Source organism: Homo sapiens, chromosome 18, assembly GCF_000001405.40.
Source record: "Homo sapiens chromosome 18, GRCh38.p14 Primary Assembly".
In the NCBI taxonomy this organism is placed as follows: domain Eukaryota; kingdom Metazoa; phylum Chordata; class Mammalia; order Primates; family Hominidae; genus Homo; species Homo sapiens.
Genome location: NC_000018.10, coordinates 38,529,530 through 38,554,287, shown reverse-complemented (window position 1 = coordinate 38,554,287; position 24,758 = coordinate 38,529,530). Strand labels below are relative to the sequence as shown.

At 37.6% G+C, this 24,758-nt stretch overlaps 1 annotated feature.

The window, feature by feature from the left end:
• Positions 932-1,501: an enhancer, noted in NCBI's record as "OCT4-NANOG hESC enhancer chr18:36132751-36133320 (GRCh37/hg19 assembly coordinates)". NCBI's record gives its function as "activates a minimal SCP1, AML or CMV promoter by ChIP-STARR-seq in naive H9 embryonic stem cells {active_cell/tissue: H9 hESC(naive)}" and the evidence as "EXISTENCE:reporter gene assay evidence [ECO:0000049][PMID:30033119]".

Here is a 24,758-nt window from a genome sequence, read left to right as displayed (position 1 = left end):
TGTCTTCCCTTGATACACCAATGTCTCTACATAGTCTTAGATGGTAAACAAAATGCTGGGCTTTCTGGATTGATTGATTGTATGTGATCTTCTTAAGTTACATGCATTTCCTCCTTAGTCCTCTAGTGGAGTTATCAAAACTCACTCAGTAGTTACCTGTAGTAGTCAGTAAGAACAAATCTAGTTGAATCCAGTTGCTCAAGGGTAATTTTAGGAAAAGGTCACAGAAGATTCAAACCCAAACCAGCATAGTGGAGTAATTAACCCATAACTGGGAGGAAAAAATGGCTTTGTAGTCAAACCAACCTGTCTCTCTCAATTCCTAGCTATATGACTTTGAGCAACTCACCCTACCACTGTTAATCTCAGTTCCTTCAACTGTGAAGCAGAGATTAGAATCTGTCTCTCACAGATTTTGTGAGAATGAAATTAGATCATTCACATAAGTCTTCTAGCATGGTGCCTAGTACAAATGAAATCATTAGGAAATGACTATTCTTTAAATTATTTTATTCTAAAAAGTGATACTGTCTAAGCTTGTCCCTTTGGAGAGTACACTAGGCACTCAAGAATACTCCTTGAGAATATCTTGGATCAAAGGAAAATCAGTTAAGATTCTTTAAATGCAGTATCAGTCCTGACCAGTTATTTCTAAAGCCCACATAACTAGAATTAGTTGACACTCTCTCCACCATCTCCATGTGACTTTTTTGTCTTTCTCCTGATGAATCTTCTTTCTTCTAGGATCTTATGCCTACATGAAGTTTTTCCTCCATGAAAAATTGCTTTTGTATTCTCTGTGCTGCTATTCTCCATTTATATCCCCATTTATAACTCGCTGCTCTGTCCTCGAGAATGCTGGGTGCTGATTTCTAAAGGCTGAATGCTGGGTACCCCCTTTGCTTTCTGGCTTCTAGCTGGGTTTGGCCAGTAGGATAAACCAGTAAAAGATGAAAGGAAAGAAGAAAGACTCCAGGCATGTCTTCCTCTGCCTTCTCCCCACTTTGCTTTGTTATCACGGTCTAGCAGCAGCTATGCCTCTCTCTCTCTCTGCCTTCTAGATGGCTCTTCAGCTGGGGGCATGGCAATGGCTTCTTGCTGTGATTAGTCCCTGGAAGCCTCAATATCCTTTGTTGATTTCCTTAACCCTGTTCAGCAAGTAATTTTCTTTAGAATCCCATCTCCCTTGGTTTCTGCTGGGAAACTGATTGTCTTTCATTCTCATTCATTCTTTTTAGCCATTCATCCATTTATTTAACCATGTATTTGAAATAAAACATACCAGTCACTATGGGACACTGAAGTGCGAATGAGAAAGGTGACTTGAAAAGATGTGATGAGGGCAAGCCTGTACCTTACTCTGGGAACTGTGGAGTTTCCATGGAGACTCCCACCCCTCCTGTTTGCAGGGGCTTCTTGATCAGTTGTCTTGGTGGAGCTGTAAGGTAACACACAGAAAGATTTCAGAGAATGTGACTAAAGCTCACACTTGGAAGCAGGTTCTGCATATTCTCCCTTCCCCTGAGACATACACACACACACACACACACACACACACACACACACACACAAACTCTAATGGGAGAGCTTTTCCTGGAAAAGGCACAAAAGTTTTCCTGAGTTGGGCATGCTGGCTCAACGATCCAAACATTTTGTCACATTTTAGAAACAGAAGTTGTCAGATACCCAATATCAGCAATAAAACCAAATCAGAATTTTTAAAATAAGTGGTGGTAGCACATAAAGATGGTCTGGAGTCCGCAGTAGTGAGAGGCTACACATATGCTACAAAAAGCCAAAGCCATCAGAATCACAGACACTGTACCAGACTACAGAATCCGAGTCCCAGAGAGAAGAGGCTTATTCAAGGTCACATGGTTAGTTCCTGGCATAATTAGCATAAACCGACTTCTCATGAATCCCTGTCCCTGCCTTTTTAGGACAGATAATTGTGAAAGGAATTATATTTTCAAACAAGGATCAGAGCCATAAATAGGGCATGGTGGAATTTCAGGAAATAAATTACATCTGGAGGAACTACTTTGGGACCCTAGGGCTTTGATGGCCCCTCTAAGTCACAGGGAGTAGCAGTCACTTCCTCCACCCCCGCACATGGCCAGGACTGCTTCTGGTCCCGCTGACTGGGAAGGGCTTGGCTGCGATGTGTGTTTTCTTCGTACTTGAATGCCCTCAGGTAAGGGTGGATTAACTTTCCTGTGGCTTTCTTGGAATGAGGCATCATCCGTCACGCCGTATGTCTTTTTACATTTTTCTTGGCTTGAACCTTTCCATTTTGTCATCACACGTAAGATTGCCGGCAGTTCCAACTGTGAGCTATTTGAGTTCTCAGGTGTGTTTTTGAGGAGACGAAGACCTGTGCCAGGAATGCAGGTAAATGTCAGTGCCAAACACAAATCCACTTCTATCAGATTCCTGAGAAATTCTGGAAGTGACTGTTAGAATAACACAGATCAGTCACATGGTGTTCTTTTTCTGAGAAGAGATGCATTGGATCCATACTATTCTTAGGGAAAGGTGACTAGTCTGAACTGAATTTTTCATATGTGCAGGTGTTTGTGATTACAATCCCATCTTTAACCTGTTCAGCCCCATTTGTACTGGGTGCTATGAAAGTTGACCAGAAGCCCACCATCATGACTGAAGCATTCATTTCCCCAGGTGTTGGGAATATTAGTGTAGGTAGCTAATATTAGTGTAGGTAATATTAGGTAGGAATATTAGTATAGGTAGCTTGTCCCTTTTCCAAAACCTGCCTTTGGCTGGCTAAAGAGCTGCTTTGTCCAAGATCACACCCTCTCCCTAGGGAATGCCTTCTTTTTTTAAAACTGTCTGCAGTAACGGCAAAATACTAAGGGATATAAAAGCCTGGCCCCTTTGCCCTAATTTGGGTTATTTCTTTAGGGCAAATCCCAGATCCCAGTAGAATTGGCTTGGGCCTCTGCTGCTACTGCATTTTAGTACAACTGCTCTTTCTGTCTGATCCTACATTCATCATCCCCCTCCAACAGGTACTATTCCTAAGAGTATTCACCACTGAACCATATGTGTGTCAATCTCTGTCTCAGAGTAGGTTTCCAAAGGAACCTGACCAGTGACACCCATCATTCCAAAACACTCCTAAAATGCTAAGACATACTTGGCATAATATATGCAAAACACTTTCCTGTCCATTGTTTCATTGGAAACTGATCACCATCTTCAGAGGCTGAGAGGGCTAATTGTTTATAACTTTATAAGGGCTCCTTACCCAGCTCATTCACTATAAAAGCACTAATACTCCTCCCTTCTCTGAGTAAAAGCAACTCCCTTGTAACTCTGCCATCCTGTCTTTCTGCACTATCACCAACTCCTTCGTTTTTATGTGGCACTTTGCTCCAAGGAGCTCATAAAGCATCACTCTGGATTGTATCTTGTTTGTACCCCCACCAGTAGATATCATTAATAATGACAGTAAGAATGGCAAATATATAACAATTATTTAGATGTGGTAAGTGTGGCCCTAGAAGACTGAACCTGATTCATCCTCATGTGGTACCTAGGAAATGAAACCTGTAGTGGGACAAGGATAATGTCATGGCCATTGATGTGTCATTCATATGGAGATTAAGGAGAGAACCTCTATTTCTTTGCTTGCCTGTGCCAGGACTTTTGTGTATTGATTCCCCAGACCTCAGAGGTCTAGGGAAGGAGAGAGGTGGCTGGAATGGACAAATAGACTAGTAAGTGAATAAAGGGAGGGTGGAAGAAAGTGTTACAGAGAGTTCTGGCCTATTAATCCTAATGAATGAAATCTTCCCTTAAAGAAAAAGAAAATGAAAAAGAGGTTACCTTTCCTCAAATGGTATAATATCTTTTTCTATTAAATTTTCCCGTATGAAAGATTCTCATTAGGGATCCAAAGTAAAAAACTGGGACACGCCAATAGCTTGTTCAAGATCCCTAGCAAACTGAGAAATATTGAGAGACCAACTCCTAACCATGACTGGCCTTCCTCTTCCCTAGCCTCTGCAATAGAAAATCTGGACATTTCCATGTGCAGGGGACCTATGTTTCTCAGGAAATAGGCAAGTGGAGTCCTAGATTTAACTTAGACAACAATTTGATAAATATTTTTCCCACTAACTTTTAAGAAGTGTCTTATAACATGGATTTATGGTTCTCTTTTGCTCCCCATACCTCTCTCTGTGTTAAGTATTTTGTTCATTCATCAGGACAGCCATTAGAAAAATATGGTAGATGAAATTAGGGGAGAAAATATTTTCCCTCTTAATTTTCATATATCTGAATGCATTGACATAGGATTTTACATTAAGTTTTTAATTTTAACTAAAAAATATTAAAAATAACAATGACATATCTTTGTTGCTTATTTCTAACTTCCATTAAAATTTAGATTTTGTATATGCAAGGGATTAAAATAGCTCAAAACCCAAAAGAGAAGTATGGTGAATAGTCTCCACATGAACTCATATGCCAACCAGTTCCCCGTCTCCACAAAAACCTGTAGTCTCAGGTTCTTGGGCATCCCTCCAGAGATACACCAAGTAAATTCAGGCAAGTTCTATAAAAATATGTTAAAAATATTTTTTTCCTATCATGTTACACAGAAGTTACTGACTATATTTTACACGTGTTTTTGTAACTTCCTTTAATTAATAAGGTGTTTTAGAGATCATTTCCATCAATATAGAAATATTATATCATTCTTTTTTATTGCTGCATTGTACTTCTTTGTATAAATCTACCATAATTTTTTTAAGTCTTTCCTATTGATACACATTAAGATTGTCACAAACTTCTGCTATTAGAAGTAACGTGCCATTAATCACATTTGACAAACATCTGTAGGATATTATCCTGGCAATGGAATTGCTGCATCAGTGAGGAAATATATTTTTAATTTTGATAGCCATTGTCGAATCTCCCTCCATATAAATTATAACAATCAACACTTCAACAAAAATATATGTTTGTAGTGTTTAATTAAATTTTTATTTATTATATCATTGCTAATCTAATAGATTGTACATGGTAGCTCAAAGCTGTTTTAGTTTGCATTTTTCTATTTTGAATCCTGCTTATTATTTTATACATTGGAAGCATCTTATGTTTATTTTTGGATAATATATACGTTGTCCATTTTTCTATTGGTCTGTTATTTATTGATTGAGGATTTTTTTAATATTAGTGGAATTTGCCTTTTCTGGTTTTAGTAGTGGGAGTTACAAATATATTTTTAGTCTATGGTTTTCCTTCAGGTGCCTTTTGTCATGGCATCTGTTTCCCCCTAATTTTCATATATTCAAATTTATTGGCATTATGGGATTTTGGATTTTATGTCAACTTAAAAAAATTCTCACTCTGTAATTTAAAAGAATTCATTCATGCTTTCTTCTCATGTCCTTTACTTAAAATAGTTGTTAGTGCCTTTCTGAAAGAACCATCACATTCATAAGTATTCTCATCCATTTGCTAATTGTTTCAAAGAATCTGCATGTACTGGATTTAGACCAAACACCTCCTCAAAGATATTTTTTAAGCCGAATGAAAACACATTTACAGAGATAAAAGGTTACGTGATTTTAAGATGAAAGGTTATATGGCTGGCAAGGCATAGAACAAAAGTTTATAAGATCCTTAAACAAAAGAGAAAACCCCTGGTTGGGTGGCCAATTCCCAAAACATCCCAAGTGGAGAAAGCACTGTTAAACCTGAAGCAGAAAGAAAAACACAAGGCTGTCTGATTTTACTATGGCTGGTAGGAATTTGGAATTAGTCTCTGTGAAGAGGTGGCATAAACTGAAAATTAAGAGATTCAAAATGTTTCAAAAATGAAAAATTCATGTATAGCTGATCTGTCTTTGAGTTTTCTCATTCAGCAAATCTCATGTCTGAGAAAACAAAACAGAACAGACCTTTTCTAATGCCCTTCATTGACATAATGCACCCAAGGTGAAGTAACTATGGGATCAAACAAGGAAGATACTATTATCTCCTCACCTACTTAAAAGATGTAAAAGAACCAGAACTTATCAGCCCCCTAATTCCTCAAAAGTGAAGGTTTTCTTTCTTTTTAATGGCAGTAGGAAAAGTATTAGAACTTAGTTGATGTGGGTTTTATTAACTGTGTAGTTAATAACTAATACCCAATGTTTATTGAGGGCTTATGATATGTCAAGCTCCATGCAAAATATTCCCCATACTTCACACCCCATCACAGAGTCTTCACAGCAATCAATAAATTGATTGCATCCCATTTCAAAGATAAGAGACTGACACAGCAAAAGATTAGGCAAACTTGACCTGAAATCATATAACAGAGATAAACTCAAGCCTTGCAGAAAACAAATCGTGGGATTTTCATCTTTGTTTGGTCCAAATTTGCAATTAACAACCCATGTGACTTTAGACAAGTAACATAACACCACAGAGCATTGTTCCATTATATTCTTACTACATTGTACTGACTTTAGAGTGATTGTGAAAATCTAACAAAATGTGTATTAAATGTGAGAACATAATAAGAACTAAAAAAAAAATCAGCACAAATAATAAGAGGTTATTCAAATAAGCTCAATGCAATGAGAATGGTGGCTTTTATTTACAAATTCAAGCCCATGGGACCTAACAGAAAAAACTGCACCAAACTGAATCCTCCAACTAACTAACATTTTCCTGGTTTTATCTGTAACTTCTTGGTAAAGCTGTAAAGTAGGCCAAGGTTGCCTTAAAACCACTCCTATTGCCTGATCCAAAAGTGAGCCTGGGATCAGCAGATTTAGGGATCTGTTTCCTTTTCTTTCAATTTTTTCAACTTAACATATAATGAAGAATTTCACCTTTGTTGCTTGGTTCCTGGATGGGATACTTTATATCCTCCAAATTTCTAGAGTGGTAGAAATGTCTGTTAATGAGCCCCTTTGATCACCCCTAAGTTCATGCTAATAGATAAGATGATTCAAGACAGGGGCTGGTCATCACAGAGATCAACGACATAACTAGAAAATTAGGACTTTGAGCTGTTCCTAATTCTAGGAAGGGAAGGTGGGCTGAAGGTTGAGTTCTTCATGTGGCCAATGATTCAATCATGCCTCTACAATGAAACCACAAAGAACATTCCTAGAGCTCTTCTGGTTGGTGAACACATCAAAATATCTTTATTTACCTGGTCCTCATTTGTATTCTTTAGAACAATACTATACTCATAAGTGTGGCAATCTCCTGAGTTTTGTGTCATGCTAGTGAATTCTCAGGGTTGTGGGAATCCCTGAATTTGTAGCCAGTTCATCAGAAGTGTGGGAAGTCTGCTCTGGAAATCCTGCTTGTAGCTGGTGTCTGAAGGGAGGACAGTGTTTCTTAGGGGCTGTGTCCTTAAACCTGTGGAGTGTGGTGCTAACTCTGTGTGGTTAGTGTCAGAGTTGTATTGTAGCACAACAGTTGGTGTCAGAACACAATTTGTCTCTCATGCCCTCTGCTTCTGGCCAGCTGTCCTGAATCCTATGCAGCAGTGCTTCCCCAGAACAAACAATCCCAGGATGATGGTGTTTCCCTGACTCCCACCAATTCCAAATTACATTAGCTACTTTTAAGTCTGCCTTCTCTTCTGTCCTAGGTCGGCCTAATTTAACTAAGATGGTATTTGACACTGATGATAACAATGCATTGTATCTCTCAGACTTCAAAAATGCATTATGATATAGGAGGAAAAGCTCTGAGCCAGGAGCCTGAGCACCTGGGTTCAAATCCCTGCACTAATGAACTTCCACGCTGAGTGATCAAGTCGCCTTGTCACTCTGGAACTGTTTTTAAAATTATATTATTTGTTCTAACTACCACAAGGAAATATTTCCTAGGAACAATTATATGTGGATGTGAGAGTGCTATGAGGATTCTAAACTTCAGTTACCAAGGTCAGATGCTTATTACATTATTTTAAGAAGTATCTAAGTTTCAAGACCCTCTAGGTAGTGGTTTACATATGGCATCTACTTTAGTCCTTATGAAAGCATGAGGTAGAAATTTATTTCCAATTTACAGATCAATAACTGAGATGCAGATTTATTTTTGTAAATCAGATAGCTAGTAAATGCCGAGACAGATTTAAATTCTGTTTCTAATCTGTCACATCATCTAATCCCAGTAACCAATGGTCTTTCTATCATAGCTGACTACTTCTTAGTCCAAATAGTGGCTCAAATAACATATCTAGGCCAGGCACAGTGGCTCACACCTGTAATCCCAGCACTCTGGGAGGCCAAGGCAGGCAGATCACCTGAGGTCGGGAGTTCAAGACCTGCCTGACCAATATGGAGAAACCCCGTCTCTACTAAAAATACAAAATTAGCCGGGCGTGGTGGTGCATGCCTGTAATCCCAGTTACTCGGGAGGCTGAGGCAGGGGAATGACTTTGAGTCTGGGAATTGGAGGTTGCGGTGAGCTGAGATGACGCCATTGCACTCTGGCCTGGGCAATAAGAGAGAAATTCTGTCTCAAAAAATAAATTAAGAAATAACAACAACATATCTAGGAGTCCTTCCCAGAACTCATCAAATTGACCACCTTATTCAGCTAGCCCTGGGTATCAGATACGTTTATATCTGGTAACATTTAATGAAAAATCTAACAAAATACAACACAAATGGCTCTTCTTTCATGGAAATCATGCAAAAACTTAGGCCATTCAGAGGATGTGTGGTGGCCCCAGGCATCATCATGGACCTAGAGCTTAAATTGTTGATTTGTTTTGGTGCTATGTCATCATCAGTGCTTCAATCCATGGTCCTGTGCAGCAGCTAGAACTCTGGTCACCAAGGTCACATTTCATGCAGCAAGAATAAGAAAGAAACGAGAACATGGCCAGTTTCCCAAGTCTCTCAGCTCATTTTAAGCAGTCTCCTTGGAAGTCCCACACACACAAAACTTCCTCTTACATTACATACCTAGGCCTTTGCCTCAAGGCATGATCTGGAGGTGAGGGAGGAAGAGAACAGCATCAATGCATCTCAGCAGCTCCCCCTAATGGGAGAGAGAGACTGGGTGTCAAGGAACAGCCAGTTCTCCACTCTTAGGAATACATTCTTTTGGAACAGAAAAGATAATGCATCTGTCAGTACCATATACTCTGTAAGGATAGCATTTACTCTACTATGACCATGACTTATCTGAAATCTAAATAATCTGACATGATGACCTTTCAGTCAAAGTGGAGTGAAACTCCTTTTTTATCTGCATCATTCAAGCCAATAATTCCTCCTACTTTACATTTATACTTCAGCACGTATTGATTGGTAAAATTTTGGTATTTACCTCAAATTTCCAGTTAATTTTTTGTATTCATCCATTGATAATCCATATTAAGTTAACCTCCTAAGGGACAGAGGAGTGAAGTGCTATTCAATGGTACACAGTGGGTCAGAAATTACTACTACCACATCACCAGATTATGCTGATTCACAAATAATGTTTAAAGGAAATGCTTTGGGCCAGGCATGGTAGTTCACATCTGTAATCCCAGTACTTTGGGAGGCCAAGGTAGGTGGATCACTTGAGGTCAGGAGTTCCAGACCAGCCTGGCCAACATGGTGAAACCTTGTCTCTACTAAAAATACAAATATTAGCCAGGCATGGTGGTATGCAGCTACAGTCCCAGCTACTTGGGAGGCTGAGGCAGGAGCATCAATTGAACCCAGGAGGCGGAGGTTGCAGTGAGCCAAGGTCATGCCATCATGCCATTGCACTCCAACCTGGGAAACAGAGTGAGACTCTTTCTGAAAAAAAAAAAAAAAAAAAAAAAAAAAAAAAGAAAAAGAAAAAGAAAAAAAAAACTCCATTTAAGAAAGGAAGAAAAGGAAGAAAAGGAAAGCGTGGGAAGGGGAAAGGAGATGAGAGAGAGAAAGAGAAAGAGGAGAGAGAAAGGGAGGAAGGCCTAACATTGAATGACTTCTCACTTGGGTAAATGAAATGTCTACTCTCCTCCATGTTTTTAAAAATGGATTCATCATATCTGACAGCACATTGCCAAGCATATTGTTATGAGCTAAGTATTTGTGTAGCCCTAAAATTCATATATTGAAGGCTTAACCCCCGATGTGGCTATATTTTGATATGTAGCCTCTAAGGAAGTAATGAAGGTTACATGGGGTCATAAGAGTGGGGCCTTGATCCAATAAGATTAGTGTTCTTATAAGAAAAGACACCAGAGAACTCACAATCTCCCTCCCTCTCCCTCTCCTCAGTGCATCGAGTAAAGGCAACGTGAGGACAAAGCGAAAATGTGGCCATCAGCAAGTCAGTGAGAGAGCCCTCATCAGAAATAGAATCAGCTATGCTAGGTGCAGTGGCTCATACCTGTAATCCCAGCACTTTTGGGAGGCTAAAGTGGGACGATTGTTTGAGCCCAGGAGTTTGAGATCAGCCTGGGCAATATGGAGAGACCTTGCTCCTATTTAAAAAAAATTAATTTGCTGGGCATAGTGGCTTATGCCTGTAGTCCCAGCTGATGTAGAAGGATCTCTTGAGCCTGGAAGGTGGAGGTTGCAGGGAGCCAAGATTGTACCACGGCACTCCAGCCTGGGCAACAGAGTGAGACCTTGTCTCAAAATAAATAAATAAATAAATAAATAAATAAATAAATAAATAAATGTTGTAAAAAATTATCAGCTAAAACTTTTGTCTTGGACTTTCCAGCCTCCAGAACTGTAAGAGAATAGAATTTGTTGTTTAAGCCACCCAGTCTTTGGTATTTAGTTATGACAAGCTGAACGGGCTAATACACATACATAAAATATTTTTTATAGATAATAATGGTTTCCTTATTTTGAGGACCCTGTATATAAATAGTCTCTTGGGCTCTGACCCTTGACTCTTCCCATGGTATGAGTTTGGGCTTACCTATTGGCTCTATATGCTCCCAGCTGTGAGAAAGTGATGCTTATGTCACTTTGTACTGACATCAAGGCACAAGTAGCAGCCACCAGCCAGGTCCTTCTGACCCCAATGCCATGGAAGATGAATCTGATATTGAAGCCAGAGATCTTTGTGAACTAGGATCTCTGCCCATCACCTATGTGGGTATAATAGATTGGCATTATGCTCCATATTTTAGATATGCTTCAGAGGGTGTGCACTAAGGTTAGCACAGCCAGCCACATGACCCAACCCCATGGTCTAAAGCCACACCATAGCACCTCTGCTACCACCCAAAAGACTGATAGAGACCACTAGAGATCACCCAGCTTTATTCTATTTGTTGCTGTGATATGCTTTCATTTCTGGATATACTCAAGTTTCTTATCTTTTTTTTTTGGACTTTCAGAGAGGAAATCACAGCCACTAAATTTCTTTTTGATTCCAGAAACCCACTGTGGGGATATTGTGGGTTCTTTCTTACATCAGAAAACATGTCAGCTTGCCAGGCCCATGTAAGACAGCTATTAGGTTAATCTGGCAGAGCCAGGGTGGCTGTGAAAGAAAAGGATGCCTGATGGCTAAAACACCATTTGACCTACATCTGAGCACATGAAGCAGAATGAGGGAGGTCTGTGGGAGCTATTCTAAGGAGTCTCCAGGGAAAAGGCATTTGATATAACTAGAAAGGATGGAGACTTAAGTCCTCCAAACTCATGATGGCTGTGTGCATGTTAATGAGAGGGTCTGTGGTCACATGAGCTGGTTTTCCTGGGCCTTTGATAGGGAAAGGAAGACAGAAACATGGGGGACATAATCTACATAGCAGGCTATTTCCCCCCTCATTCCTATTGATGGCTCAAGGCTGGACAGACCATTTTGCCAAAGAATATTTTCCGACAATAAAAAACTGTAGGCTATCCTATAGAACCGTAGGCTATCCTATAGAAACATGAACCAAAGCACCTCTAATTTTCCCTCTTCATTTGAGACCAAAGCAAATTGGAATAAGGAAAACTGAGGGGGACCTGATTCATTGCAGGGGCAAAATGCTTTGGCATAGGGATCAAACCCTTACTGAGTAGATATAGCAGTCTTCCTGATATAGCAGTCTGCCTGACTGAAGGCTTCCCCGGTGTGGAGAGATCCACTGAAAGGTGTCTTATGGCTCTGGGGCAATGATTCCTGCTGATCCACAGAAATCCATGGTAGAGGAGATGCTGTCATGACTTTCATCCTACTAAACATGGCTTCTCTTGACTTTTGACATTTACTGACATTATCCCAGATTTTGTTCACACCAGTGCCAAACTCATGTCTTGTATGCCCCCAACCTAACCTTATACACTTTATATTCTTCTATTCTCTTTTTAGGAACCTGAATATTTTATGAAAGTCCTACTGGATGAAGAGAAAGACTAGCTATTTTAAGACTTGGTGTTGGCTAAGTGTCTTCCTTGGAAGTAATTATTTCATTCCTGCCAACTCTGGCATCCTCTCAGAATGCATTATGTCTGATTGAAGGGTTGGAGAAATGCAGGTATGAGAGGAGAAAGGGTACAAAATATGTCTCCTTCATCATACAGAAGGAGTGTATCTAGAACATCATGGCAACTCACCATAGAAAGAACAACTGCCCAGAATTGGCTTCACTACTCTTTTCTGGGCCATCACTTTTGAACCACTCAATCTCTAGGCTCTACTCTATGACTCTCAGTACCTGCCATAGGCACCAGGATGTGATAAGTAGATGGGAAGGACCAGCTGCCTGGATTCTGGCAACCTCTCAGGTACCATGTTTTCACACTATCATAGTAGCACTTACAAGATGCGTGGGTCTTGTGAGGCTCAGGTTGGACTAATCCTTCCTGTCCAGCCTCCATGGTGGAGAGGAAGATGGAGGAGGAACATGGGTCTTATCCTCATATCACTTTCCAGGTCCTAACATAGATTTTCTGATAAGATTTGAAGAAGTATGTCTCTTTCTATGTAAAAACTGCCATTTTTTAAACCAATATTTTATTGAGATGGAAGAGCTCCTTCATACAGTTAGACAAATGGCATTTAAGGTTTTATCTGTTTACTTCCTGTTCTATACTAGGAAGATGGAAAGTGATGCTTAAAACCTTCAGCAGCTATACATCAATTGGTTAGGCCAATTACAGAGGAGTTTTCACATTGTTATTTCACCTCCTTCCCCATACACTCAAGTGGCTCAGGTAGTTCCAAGATACCACCCCATTGAAAGGCTGGGAGGCAAGTCTATCTATGCTGCTGTGATTTGGGAATCCATCTGTGGTTTCTACCTGTGGCAGAGTCTGAGGTTAGAAGGATGATTAGGAGCATTTATCAGATACCCTATCAAGGAAATAAGACTTTAAGGAGAAGGGAGTGTTTTTAAAACTAAAGTTATGTTTATTGATAATTTCTTCACCATAACAACCAAATTTGCCCATTTTCATTGATTCAAGCAGAGATCTATACTTGTTTTTAAGTTTCTGGAGCCTGTCAGTCGCATATGTGGCTCCCAACCTCGGCTGTCATTTTGAATTTTCTGTTCAGGAGTCATTTAAATACATAATTAGCTATTTTTAAACACAAAAATTTGTGATGTTCATATCAGACATGACAGTCACAAACTCCAAACTGGAAATTCTCATAAACAAGGTTTTACTCCTACATTATCTATTCTGATACCCCTTCAAATATTCATTTGCAGTTATTTTTAGACAGTTAAAAGATCATATAACTGAAAAATGCTACCCTCCATATCCTTAATATCCTGGCCTTTTTTTGATTCCTCAAACAAATTAAACTGCTTTCTATTTCATGGATTTCTATTTGCTACTTCCTCTGCCTAGAACTCTCCTTTCCTCATCTTATAGGAATGGCCTTGGATCTCAGCTCAAATGTGGCCTCCTTAGATGGACATCCCAGACTAAACAATCTAATTTTCTCTCTCACTGTATTATTCTTAACTACATTACCCAGTTATATTTTATAGAATTACTTGATATTTAGTTACTAAAATTCTGCTATATAAAATGATATCAGAACTTTAAGCAGGATTTTCACTAGACATATTGTCCTCTTGTTATGTGAAACACAAATATCTTAGGATCTGGGGATCTTACACCACCCACCCCCTCAAAATAACTCAATCTACAGTGGTAGTCTCTTCTGAGATCCAGTCACTCAGTTTTCAGGCTATGCCTTCCATCTGCATGTGTTACTGTCACTGCATTGCTGCATGCCTGAGAAATTCTCCTGTGGGGAAATTTTCCAGTACTGGCAAGCATCAAAAGAGAGCCATGTTTGTGGGATAGTATGCTCAGTGTCAGAATTCCCTCTCCAGGCTGGCTCTAATAAACTCATTATAGTAAGATCAAAATGACTGACCAGCTGTTCCCCTTCCCTGAAGTATTTGCATTTTAAAAGGTGAGAAAAAGCCTAAAACAGAGACAAAGTTTCTATTTGTTTAAATCCAGACATGGGGAAATAGGCAGTGAAATAAGACAAAAATGCAAGGAAATAGAAAAGGGTTGTATTATTACTACTGGAATAATTTCACATGAGGAACTGGCAAGATGGGCCACTAGATCTGCTTTCTAACATTCTCAAATCATTTGCAAAGCTCTCTGAGGAATCAATTGGTTCCTAAATTCTGCCTTGGTTCTTATATTTGGCAGGGCCTTAGGTTCTTTCAAATCTCAGGAGTCACTCCAGGGACTCAAGTGGAGTGGCCTCATTTGGGACCAATTCTGTCAACATGTTGGGCACAGGCTGACTCCCAGTAGGGGTCACAGCTGGCCTAGAAGAGTTAATTATCCTCAGGATGTAACCACAAAGCCATGAGCCTGTCAGTCAGGCCTTTGCTCTTGCTTGCCAGTAACTTTGGATTATCAAGAGAGGCAAAGAGGAGCCCTGGTCATCAATAGGATGAGATACATTTCTTCTTCAGCATAATGAGGGACTAAACTACAAAAATGTAAGGTGAAAACCATTGTATTATTCATTCAAATTCAACAGATCTTTATTGAATACTTACTCTGTGCCAGAGACTATTCTAAAAATATGAAAAAGCAGAAGTTATAGAGATGAACCAGGTTTTTGCTTCCATAAATGTTATATTCTAGTGACAGGAAATAAATACCAAAATAGAAAAATAAACCTAAAAAGAATATATCTGGTTCATCACTATGAATAAAATTAAAGAGTGCAATGTAGTAGAGAATGACATTGTAAAAGAGAAATTAGATTCTTGATCTGGGATAGTCATCCAAGAAGGCAGCACTTAAACTGAGATCCAAGGCCACCCCCATCATGATGTAGAAAAGGAAATTTCAGGCAAAAAGCATATCATAGAGAAATCCATGAGATGAAAACAAGTTTGGTTTGAGGAATTTTTAAAAATCAGAAGAATTTCCACTTCTGGGAGAAGAGACTAGACACACTTTTCAATTTTGTTCATGCGAGGTAACTAAAAACTCTGGAATGTTTTTTCTACAGTAAACATAAGATGACTCTGAAATATGGAGATAATAAGGCAGATGGGTAAACATCTCAGGACTTGAATAACAACATTAACTAAAAAAGAGTTGCTTCCCTGGGTTTTCATGTTGTTTTATTGGTTTAATTATTTAAATTTTTGCCTCATGTATCCCAGACTTGGAGCCGAAGACACTGATAACTCAGAAGCACCAACATGTGCAGACAAAAAAATGTCCCAAGAAAAGCCTGTCCTTGCTAGGTAAAAGTGTAGCAAAAGGGAATCCTAAAAAGAGACCATTTTGGGATAGGAATTTCTATACTTTAGCCAAATACCACAGGAAAAAAAATAAAATGTTGCTGAACCTCTTCCCTGATCAGCCAGCTCTGAATGAGAGGCCTACATGTCCTCCAAACTCATGAGACTGTGATGAGATGCTCCAACATTTCTACTGGATCATGTCAGAGAAGGCCAGTGGTGGAGCCTGGACTTTTATCCTCACTGGATAGTAATGAGCACCACTGCCATTACTATCCACAAAATCAGTGGATACTACATGAGGAGTCTGGATTTTACCTCCACTCAACATTAATAATATGCCCCTCTCCCTCCATGATAAGACGTGTCAGAATGAGGGCTAGCAGAGTCAGGTCATCCACCATCACTGAGCTATGATAGGTCCATCCCCTTCTCCACATGCATTATTAATAGAGACCACATGGGGCTGGAATTCCCACCCCTGCCCAGCAGTCAGTAATGAGGGCCGCTATCTCAAATGTCAATGCAGGCTGAGTGGGGAATTTAGCCTTTACCTCTTTACCTCCATCTGGGATTAACAAGGTAGCACTACTATTCCCCTACTGGAGTGGTATTGCAAAAAAAAAAAAAAAAAAAAAAAAAAAACCAGAAGTAGAATGGTGAAATAAAAAGGTTAAATTGTCTCATAACATATCACAAAAAAAATTATAGGTTTTAATAAAATAAACCTACTCATTCCAAAACAAAGTTTCACACACATACACACACACAGAAAAATAGTTTAAAAAAACACCTGAGATAAAAATACTATGATGATTGGACAATTTTAAAGCAGCCATTATCAATGGTTTCAACAAGCAATTTACAAACATCTTTGAAACAAATGAAAAATAGTGTCTCGATAGAAAAATTAGAAGTTGTCGGTACAGAAACAATAGATATAAAGAACCAAGTAGAAAATTTAGAGATGAAAAATACAAAAGTAAATAAGCTCAGTGGGTTGACTAACAGCAGAATACAGAAGATGGGCAGAATAATCAGTTAAATGAAGGACAAAGCAATAGAAATTAATTAGAAAAATAGGAACTAGATTGGGGAGAAAATGAACAAGCACTCCAAGACCTGCAGGATTACAACAAAAGATTTAACTTTCATAACACTGGAGTCCTAAACAAAGAGGAGAAATGTAACAGGGCTGGAAAATTATGAGAATATTTTATGTCTGAAGTTTTTACAAATTTGGCAAGAAACAAAGAAGCTAAGTGAACCCCAAGCAGCATAATTTCAAAGAAATCCATGCCAGCACCTAAGACACATCACAAGTTTTGAAAATTAAAGAAAAAAATATAATGCCAGCCAGAAAAACATGGTCCCTTATCTATAGAGGAATAGTAGGTCACATGACAGTGAATTTCTCATGAGAAATGAGAAGACCAAAAAGAAGTAGGACATTTTTCAGGTTCCAAAGAAAAGAACTGTTAATCCAGAATTCTACACCAATTGAAATCTCCTTCAGGAATTAAGAAAAAGTCAAGACATTCTTACATGGAAAAAAAAATTAAGAGAATTGGTCACAAAGTGACCTACCCTGAAGGATTAGCTGAAGAATATTCTCAGAAAGAAAGGAAATAATAAAAATAAATGAAACTAAGAGCATTAGGAATGAAGGAAGAATTGTAAGCATAACTATGGGTGAATACAATAGGCTTTCTTCTCTTGGGTTTTCTAAATTTTTCTTAAGTGGTTAAATCAGAAATAAAACACTATCCAACGTGGCTATAGATTTATGTAGAGAAAATATTTAAAACACTTATAAATGAGAGAGTATAAAGAGGCATAAAGAGTTAAGATGTATATACTTCACCCAAATTTGTAAAATAATGACACAAGAAAACTAAGTTATATATATATGGCATAATATTTGGAACCATCATTAAAAAGCTATAGGCTTCTGGTTTCTGCACAAACATTCTAAAACCTTGCAATGACTTTTTAGATCTTGCAGAGAATTGAGATCACAGGATAAACAGTCACCCTGAAAAGTAGAGAAATAGGTGAATACAGAAGATACAGATCAGCCCACCTGAAGCAGAAAATGCCGATAGCCAGTAATAGTGAGATGGCAACTTTGACAAATTCCTAGAGGATGAAAGTGGAATAGATTGAGAGTTAAAAACTTCAAGTTTCCACACACTTTCATGAGTTTTACCTCAGGAGTCCCACCAGGTTCTCAGAGTAAGGATTACAGAAAAGTCCTCTCATGTTTGGTCGGTGGAAGGGAATAAGTAATCATTTTGAAATATACCCAAGAAAAATAAACATTTTGGAATAAATTCAGAAAACTTGACATGGACAATAACTTCAACAAACTGAGCAAAGAAAAGTAGTTTCCTGAAAACTTATCTCGGATGAAGGATAGGAAATTGGAAAACCCCAGCCATTCCTAGCCTTCCTTTCTTAAGGGGGAACAAAAAGTTGAGAAGGACTTGTGAAGGTCACAGACCAAGGGTACAGGCCCACTAAAACACTAAGAACTAACTATAGCATTATAGAATGCTTCCTCTCCCCTCACATGTTATTACTGCATCAATAGGACATCTTTTAACAGTGGATCAAAGTAAAAGAACTGATGTGACAGACTGCCACGGTTACTACTTGAGACTGTCATTACAGCAGTTACTACTGTTACTTCTTGAGACCATCATTATAGCAGTTACTACTATTACTGCTTGAGACCATCATCATGAGACTGAAAGAAGGGAGGAAGGTAGAAATGATAACTTAAGACAAAAAAACTGTTTTAAAGGAAGGGGAACCGGGGAAAAAGAGAGCTCCCTGCTTCTAGTGAGCGAAGGCAGCCACTGAGCTTCCACAGCCCTTCATATTTATTGGGTAACAAGAGCAGGGAGGAGGAGGTGATTGGTCTGAGGTAATGATTGGTCAGCTGCTTAATTGATCACAGGTTCATATTGTTATTAACAGGCTTCAGATGTACCTAATCACAAGAAACACTTGTGCCTGGGTCGTGACTGCCCTCAGCATTTCATCTGGGTGGCATATGCAGTTTGTCAGTTTGCCAACATTCTGCATTTATGAGAAACAGTTTTGCTGCTTACTCTTATAGCCTCCAGTGGTATACTGAGTTGATCATGACCCTCACTCTTTCTGGCCTCCAACAAACTGACAGTCTCAGACTTTATTTAAGAAGAAATTTCTAGGGAAACCCAAAAACTACAGGGAAGACAAAAACAAGGACACCAGAGGAAATTGAAGCCCCGACACATATAGCTACATTAAACAAGATAAACTTTTATCATTACATAAAGTCCTTCTTTGTCTTTTTTCTTACTGTTGTTGCTTTAAAGTCTGTTTTGTCTGACATAAAAAAAGCCACTCCTGCTCACTTTTGGTTTCCATTATGTGGAAAATCTTTTTCCACACCTTTGCATTAAGTTTATGTGAGTCCTATGTGTTAGGTGAGTCTCTTGAAGACAGCAAGCAGATATTTGGTTTGTAATTTTTTAATCCATTCTGTCATCCTGTACCTTTTCAGTGAAGCATTTAGGTCATTTACATTCAATGTTAATATTGAGATATGAGGTACTGTTTTATTCATCATTTAGTTGTCACCTATATACTTTGTTTTTTTTTCATTGTGTTATTGTTTTATATGCTTTGTGAGATTTATGCTTTAAGGAGGTTTTATTTTGGTGTATATTGACCTTTCATAATAGTAGGCTTTGATTCATTTTTCTTTCTCTTTTGTACAATTACACAGGTATTTTTTTCTTTGTAATTACTTAAGCTTACATAAAACCTTTTATAGTTATAGCTGTCCATTATAATAACTTGGATTGCATACATAAATTCTACATTTATTTCTCCTCTTATTCCACATTGTATGTTATTGATGTCATAATTTACTTTTTAAAATATTGTGTGTTGATTATCAATTTATAGTAGCTATAATTATTTTAATATTTTTGTCTTTTTAACTTTTATACTAGAGTTAAGGGTGATTAGACATTATCATTACAGTACTAGAGCATTCTGATTGACCAAATGGTGAGATTTATACTTTCATACATTTTTATATGGCTAATTAGGGTTCTTTCCTTTCAATTTGAAGAATTCCCTGTAGCATTTCTACTGGTAATGAAGTCTCTCAGCTTTTGTTTGTTTGGGAAGGTTTGTAATCTCTCCTTCATTTCTGAAGGACAAATATTTCTGACACAGTGTTCTTGATTGGCAATTGTTGTTTTTTATTTGTTTTCTTTCAAAACTTTAAATGTATCATTCCACTTTCCTGGCCAGTAAATAAAATCCATTTATAGTCTTTTGGGAGTTGCTTTGTATATAATAAGTCATTTTTCTTTTTTGGTGATGGTTTCAAAATTGTCTTTGCTTTTATTTTTAATATTTTGATTAAAATGTGTCTCAGTAAATATCTCTTTGTGTTTAGTCTACTTAAAATTATTTGAGCATCATGAATCTGATTGTTCATTTTCCTCCTCATACTTAAAAAGTTTTCTGTCATATATTTAAACAAGATTTCTGCCTTGTTCTCTTTCTGTGCTCTTTCTGGGACATCCGTAATACATATATTGGTTCCTTTGATGGTTCCCCATAAGTCTCATAGGTTTTCTTCAGTCTTTTTCACTCTTTTCTTCCTTTGAAATTACCCTCTGACTGGGTAATTTCAAATGACCTGTCTTTGAGCTTACTTATTCTTTCTTCTGTTTGATCAAGTCTGCTGTTGAAACTCTGTTGAATTTTTCAGTTTAGCCATTCTGTTTTTCAGCTCCAAACTTACTACTTAGTTATTTTTTATGGTTTCTATATATTTGTAAAATTTATCATTTTTATGTAGTATTTTTCCAATTTAGTTTAGTTGTCTATGTTCTACTGTAGCTCATTGAGATTTTTTAAGGTGATTATTTTATTTGTCATACAGTTTATAGATATTCATTTATTTAGGTTCAGTTATACATGCTTTATTTTGATCTAAACACAATTTGGTTTTCTTGTCTTTCTGATTTTTTAAGCCTTGTGCTTGTGTCCACACATTTGTAGGAATAGACACCTTTCTTGTCTTTACAGACTGGTTTAAGCAGAGAAAGACATTTATCGTCATCCTAGCCAGAAATTCTGGGTAGGAAATGTGGTAACATCATTGAGTGCACTTTCTACCTAAGTTTGTGGGAAAACTGTCCTGGTGCCTGGGTATGTGAGAAGAGGCCTAGAGCCTGAATGTGTGACAGCTTCTGTGGAATCTATGACCATGGGGGCCTTTCTGACATTGGAGTGGGTCTGGAGCATGCATCCACTTGAGTCGACTTGGAATCTGTATTTCTGGGTGCTGGTCTGGCACCAGGCTTTCTGAAGTGGTTTTGTAGTCTGGGTCTATGAGGGCCTGTCAGGAATCAGGGCACACAAGTACCGGCCTGGTTCCAGGGATCACTGGGGTGGGCCTGCAACCGAGTACCCAGGGGCCAATCTGGAGCCTGGGTTAGTAGGTGACAGCTTGCAGCCTGAATCCATAAGGGCCATGTGGGCACCAGAGTCTACAGGGGCAGGCCTGGAGCCTGGGTCTGATCAGGCTGGTCAAGTCCTGGGGTTCAATGTGGGTAGGCCTGGTACTGGGGTCTGTGACAAATTTGGATGCTCACTTTACTTTGCTTTCTCCATACAGAGGGTATTTCCCTTGGTGCTGTGCTAGGTGGCTTTAGGGAAACGTAATGTAGGCAATGTGAAATGTTCTTTCTACCCACTTCAGTGCATTTTTTTTTCCATTTCTGTGCTTCATCACTTACCTGGATCTAAACCTCTCATTAAGGTATTTTAATGTATGGATGGTTGTTAACATCAGTGTTTCTGTGAGGAGATGAGCACCAGAAACTCTCCTCGCTGGCACCATTCTCTGTCTCTAAGACGTTTTTTAATAGGTAATGTAATTGTCTATGTAGAGAATCCCAAAGATTGACCAAAAGAAATGTCTGGAACTAATAAACAATTATAGCAAGGTCCTAGGATATATAGCAAGGTCATAATATAAAAAAAGTCAATTGTTGTCTCATATACTAGCAGAGAATAATTAGAATTTGAAATTAAGAAACAAAAATATTTATATTAGCATCCCCTAAAATAAATAGGCAAAAATGGAAAACAGGTATAGGACCTATATGAATAAAAACTACACAATTCTGATTTAAAAAATCAAAGTATTTCTAAATAAATGGAGTGATATTTTATATTCACAGATAGGAATACTCAATATTTTTTAAATGCCAATTCCCTCCAACTTGATATAAATTCAGTACAATCCAAATCAAAACCCCACAAGATATTTTTTATATATGGACAAAAAATTCTAAAATTTATATGGAAAAGAAATAAGACCCAGTAAAAGCAATACAAAACTAAAGAAGAAAAATAGATTTGAAAGACTGGCCCCATACCATTTTAAGACTTATTAGCTACAGTAATCTAGAAAGCATTAATATAGTCAGCATGTATTTGGCAAAGTAACATAGACAATTCAATGGAAAAAAACTGGAATGCTAATAAACTTCTGGTGAGTATGCAAAATCGTACTACTTTCTTAGGAAGACGGTTTTGAAGGTGGTTTCTTACAAACCAAAATTTAATCTTAACATATAGATCAACAATCACACTCCAAGTCATTTACCTAATTTAGTTGAAAACATATTTACACAAAAATCTGCACATGAATGCTCACAGAAGTTTTGTACATGATCACCAAAAACTGGAAGCAACCAAGATATTCTTCAGTGGGTAAATGGATAAACAAACTTTGGTACATTGATACTATGAAATATCATTTAGAAATTAAAAAGAAATGATATATTGAGCCTCAAAGATACCCAGAGAAATCTTAAGTACATATTGTCAGTCAAAAGCAGCCAATCTAAAAAGGCCACATACTCTACAATTACAACTTTGTGGCATTTTGGAGACTACAATTTAAAAAATTAGTAGTTGCCAAGGGTCACAAGGAGAGAAGGAAGGAATAAGTAGACGAAACTCAAGTGATTTTTTGGGTGATAAAGCTATTCTTTATGAAATTGTAATGGCAGATATATGTCATTATGCATTTGTGAAAATTCATACAACTATATAGAACAAAGAGTGAATCTTAATGTGAACTCCAGAGTATAGTTAATAATAATATGTCAACATTGGTTTCACTAATAATAATCAATGTACCACACTAAACTAAGATGGTGATAATAGAGGAAAGTATTTGTGGGAGGTGAGAGGGGTATGTAAAACCCTATATACAGTTTGTTAAATTATTCTGTTAATGTAAAACTGTATTCAATATAAAGTCTATTAATAATTTTTAAAATCTATAAAACTATACATTCAAAAATGCCATAGATAAATCAAAATAAAATCCTAAAATATGTTTGAATAACCTATAGAAGAAAAAACATAGATACGAAAAACAGAAAGAACAAACACAAAACAAAAATAAATGATAGACTTAAGCTCACATGTTTGTGATTATATTAAATGTTAGTAGTAAAATATGTTAATTAAAAATAGATGTTGCCAAAGTGAAATAGGATTAAAAAATGGCCAACCTACAGGCTGTCTAAAAGAAACTCACTTCAAATATAAAAATATAGGCAGGTTCAAACTAAAATAATGAAAATGATAGTTTGTGCAAATACTAATCAAATAATGTATAAATGACTATATTAATGTCATATAAAATATACTTCAGAGCTAAAAAACAGCAGGATTACCATGGGTATTCACAAGCATTAGAAAGAATCTAAATAAGATCTTGGAGGTAGACAGGGTGCAGATCAGACTCACATTTTGTATAAAACAAATTCAGAATTGTATTGTAAGTGTAATAGGATATGTTTAGGAAGTTGTAAAAAATATAAAGGACTTAGTAGAGTGAAAATACACCCATACATTATATATGCAAAATTAAGATTTGTATACTTTCTCATCTGTTTCTTATCAATAATGAAATTAGCTCTAAAATAACAGAGGCCAGGTCCTCTGGCTTACATGTGTAATCCCAACATTCTGGGAGGCTGAGGTGGGAAGAATCCTTGAAGTCAGGAGTTTGAACCAGTCTGGACAATATAGTAAGACCCCATCTCTACAAAAAAAATGTTTTTTAAAAATAGCCAGGCATGGTTGTACAGGCCTGTAGTCCTAGCCACTCGGGAGGCTGAGGCAGCAAGATAACTTATGCCCAGGAGTTTGGGGTTACAGTGAGCTATGATTGCACCACTGCACTACAGCCTGGGTGATGGAGGGAGACTCTGTCTCCCACTGCACCTCCCCAATCAGAAAAAAAAAAAAAAACCTCAGCAGGATGATGAGAATGGTTCTGTAACAATCAATAAATTCAATGGCTTAACACAATGCTTAACACATTAGCATATATTTTTTTACTTGTAAACTATTAAATGGGGTGTCTATGGTGGCTTATTCTCTTGCAAAGCTTTCCACCATGACCTTCCATTTTGTATCTCTACCACCTCCCGAACAAACACTGTTCAGTAGAAATATAATACGACCCATGTGTGTAATTTTAAATTTTCTAATAGCTACATTAAAAAAGTAAAAAGCAGGTAAATCAGTTTTAACAATTTCTTAATTAGCCCAATATATGTGTAGTATTATATTAGCATGTCATCAGTATGAAAATATTTAGTATTTTGTATTATTTGGTTATATGTCTTCAATATCTATTGTATATTTTACTCATGACATCATGTTTCAACTCAGATTAGCACAGTTCAGTGCCTAATAGCTGGATGTAATTAGTGACTACTATATATAATTGTACAGTTTTAAAGCACTGACATATTTCCAGCCACGTACATATGGGCTGGGGAAAATAGCACCAAGGGAGCATGGGAGGTTTCAGAGGGTTTGCTTGAAAAAGCCTTATATCACATTTACTCGTATTCCAGTAGCCAGAACTCAAATTATCTGGAGCCAGTTAATGGCAAGAGAGTTTTAAAAATGTAATATTTAGGACAGAGAAAAAAGAAACATTGATTAACTCATGAGCTGGTTTCAGCCGTACCTG